Below are 2,521 nucleotides of genomic sequence, written 5' to 3' on the forward strand. Positions count from 1 at the left end.
CTTTACTTTGACTCTATGGCTGTCATTGCATGTGAGATGGGTCTCTTGAAGACAGCATACAGTTGTGTCTTCCTCTTGCTTCTACATCCAGCTTGCCACCCTGTGCCTTTTAGTTGGGGCATTTAGCCCATTTACATTCAAGGTTAATATTGATATGTGTGAATTTGGTTCTGTCCTTATATTGTAAGTTGATTACTATGCAGACTTGATTGTGTTTTTGCTTTATAGTGTCAGTGATCTACATACTTAAGTGTGTTTTTGTGGTCCCTGATAATGGTCTTTCTTTTCCATATTTAGCACTCTTTTAAGGACCTCTCATAAGGCAAGTCTGATGGTAATGAATTCCCTTAGCATTTACTTGTCTGAAAAGGATCTTGCTTCTCCTTTACTTATGAAGCTTAGTTTTTCTGGATATGAAATTCTTTGTTGGAATTTCTTTTCTTTCAGAATGCTGAATATAGGCCCGAATCTCTTCTGGCTTATAGGATTTCTGCTGAAGGGTTCAATGTTAGCCTAATGCAGTTCCCTTTGTAGGTGACCTGCCCCTTTTCTCTGGCTGCTTTTAACAGTTTTTCTTTCATTTTTACCTTGGAGAATCTAATGACTATGTTTCTTAGGAATGGTCATCTTGTGTAGTATCTTGCAGGGGTTCTCTGCATTTCACGGATTTGAATGTTTCTTATATAGTGAGCTTGAAAAAAATTTCATGGATGATATTCTCAAATATGTTTTCTAAGTTGCTTGCTTTTTCTCTCCCTTTCAGGGATGCCAATGAGTCATAGATTTAGTCTCTTTACATAATCCCATATTTCTTGGAGATTTTGTTCATTCTTCTTTATTATTTTTTCTTAGTTTTGCTCGACTGTGGTATTTTAGAGAACTAGTCTTTGAGCTCTGTGAGTCTTCCTTTAGCTTGGTTAATTTTGCTGTTAATACTTGCAGTTGACATTTGAAATTCTTGAAGTGAGTTTCTTAGCTCTATCAGATGAGTTTGGCTCTTTCTTTAAATGGCCATTTTGTCTTTTATCTCCTATGTAACTTTATTTTATTCCTTAGATTCCTTGGATTGGGTTTCAACTTTCTACCAGATGTCAATGATCTTCATTCCTATCCATATTCTGAATTCAATTTCTGTCATTTCAGCCATTTCAGCTTGGTTAAGAACCATTGCTGGGATACTATTGTCATTTGGACATAAAAAGACACTCTGGGTCTTTGAATTGCCAGAGTCCTTGTGCTGGTTCTTTCTCATCTGTGTGGGATGATGTTCCTTCAATCTTTGAAGCTGCTGTCCTGTGGATGAGTTTCTTTCCTTTTATCTTCTTTGAATTCTTTGGCAGTTTGATTGTGGTATAAGGTGGGTTCAGTTGACTGGGTTTGTTTCTGGAAGATTTTAGGTGGCTGAGGCTCAGCTCAGTGCTCCCTGTCTGCATGTTCTTACTCTGGGAGGCTGGTACTGGGTCTCCAGCTTTGTTCTCTGGCCCCTCAAAGTTAGGAACCTGCTGTTCCAGAGGGACCAAAGTGTGCCCAGTCCACTGGCCACCACACTTTGAAGGGTGATGTTGGCCAAAGCACTTCATTGGGGTGGTGGCAGCATGATCCATGCTCACTTACACATGCCAGTAGCCATGGCAGTGGTGGGGTGCATGCGTGCTAGCTGGCAGAAGCAGGGCTGCAGCATTCCTGCATGTGCTTCCACTGGCAGTGGGGCAGAAGTGGGGTTGCCTGCATGTGTTCGTACTGTCGGCAGTGGTGGTGCGGGGGGGGTGGGGTTGCCAGTGTCTGTGTGTGTTTGCACCAGCAGTGGTCTTGGCATGGGGGTGTGAAGCCATCGGTATTTATTGGTGCATTCACAACAGTTGTGGTATCAGCATGGGTGGGGCAAGATTGCTGGTGTTTGTTTGTATATTTGCACCAGCAATGGTGGTGTGGTTGAGTGCCCACATGTTAGCTGGGGGTGGGGGTGGTGGGTTGCGCTCATATCGGCAGCAGCAGCAGGGTCTGCACACACAGCACTGGGAGGAGAGGGAGTGTGAGGCTCACCCGTGTGCACACACCAGCAAAGCAGTTGGGGATAGGGGAAAGGCTGTGGGCAAGTGAACGCCAGAAAAGTGGCACAGGGGAAGCTGTGATGAAAAGAGACTGTGTGGGCTGGTGTGCATCAGCAGGGGTCGCTCTACTGGAGCTCTCTGATAGTCAGGCAAGGTCTGCCGACAAAGGAGCTATGATGAGGGTTCCTGGAAGCACCCTGGTTGAACATCTGAGGCTGCACTGCCGTCAGGTGAGGCCAAGCTGGGGCCCCAGCAGAGGCCAACAGACAGGAGAGAACTCAGGGTGGACTTGCCGCATCTCAAAGACAAGACCACCCTGCTCTGTCCAGGTCTGACAGTTACTCTGTGGCCAAAGTCGCCTAGAGGACCATGACGAGCCTTGGGGGATGGGTGTCCCTGGCCAGCTCCACTGCAGCTGCTCCCACACCAAACTCCGCAGGCTCCACACAGGCTGGAGTCCTGCTCCTACC

The 2,521-nt window shown here is 46.1% G+C and overlaps 1 annotated feature.

Moving 5' to 3' along the window:
- Window positions 1,810-2,311: an enhancer, noted in NCBI's record as "H3K4me1 hESC enhancer chr5:15132337-15132838 (GRCh37/hg19 assembly coordinates)". NCBI's record gives its function as "activates a minimal SCP1, AML or CMV promoter by ChIP-STARR-seq in naive H9 embryonic stem cells {active_cell/tissue: H9 hESC(naive)}" and the evidence as "EXISTENCE:reporter gene assay evidence [ECO:0000049][PMID:30033119]".

The sequence above is a fragment of the Homo sapiens genome, chromosome 5 (genome assembly GCF_000001405.40).
Source record: "Homo sapiens chromosome 5, GRCh38.p14 Primary Assembly".
NCBI lineage: Eukaryota > Metazoa > Chordata > Mammalia > Primates > Hominidae > Homo > Homo sapiens.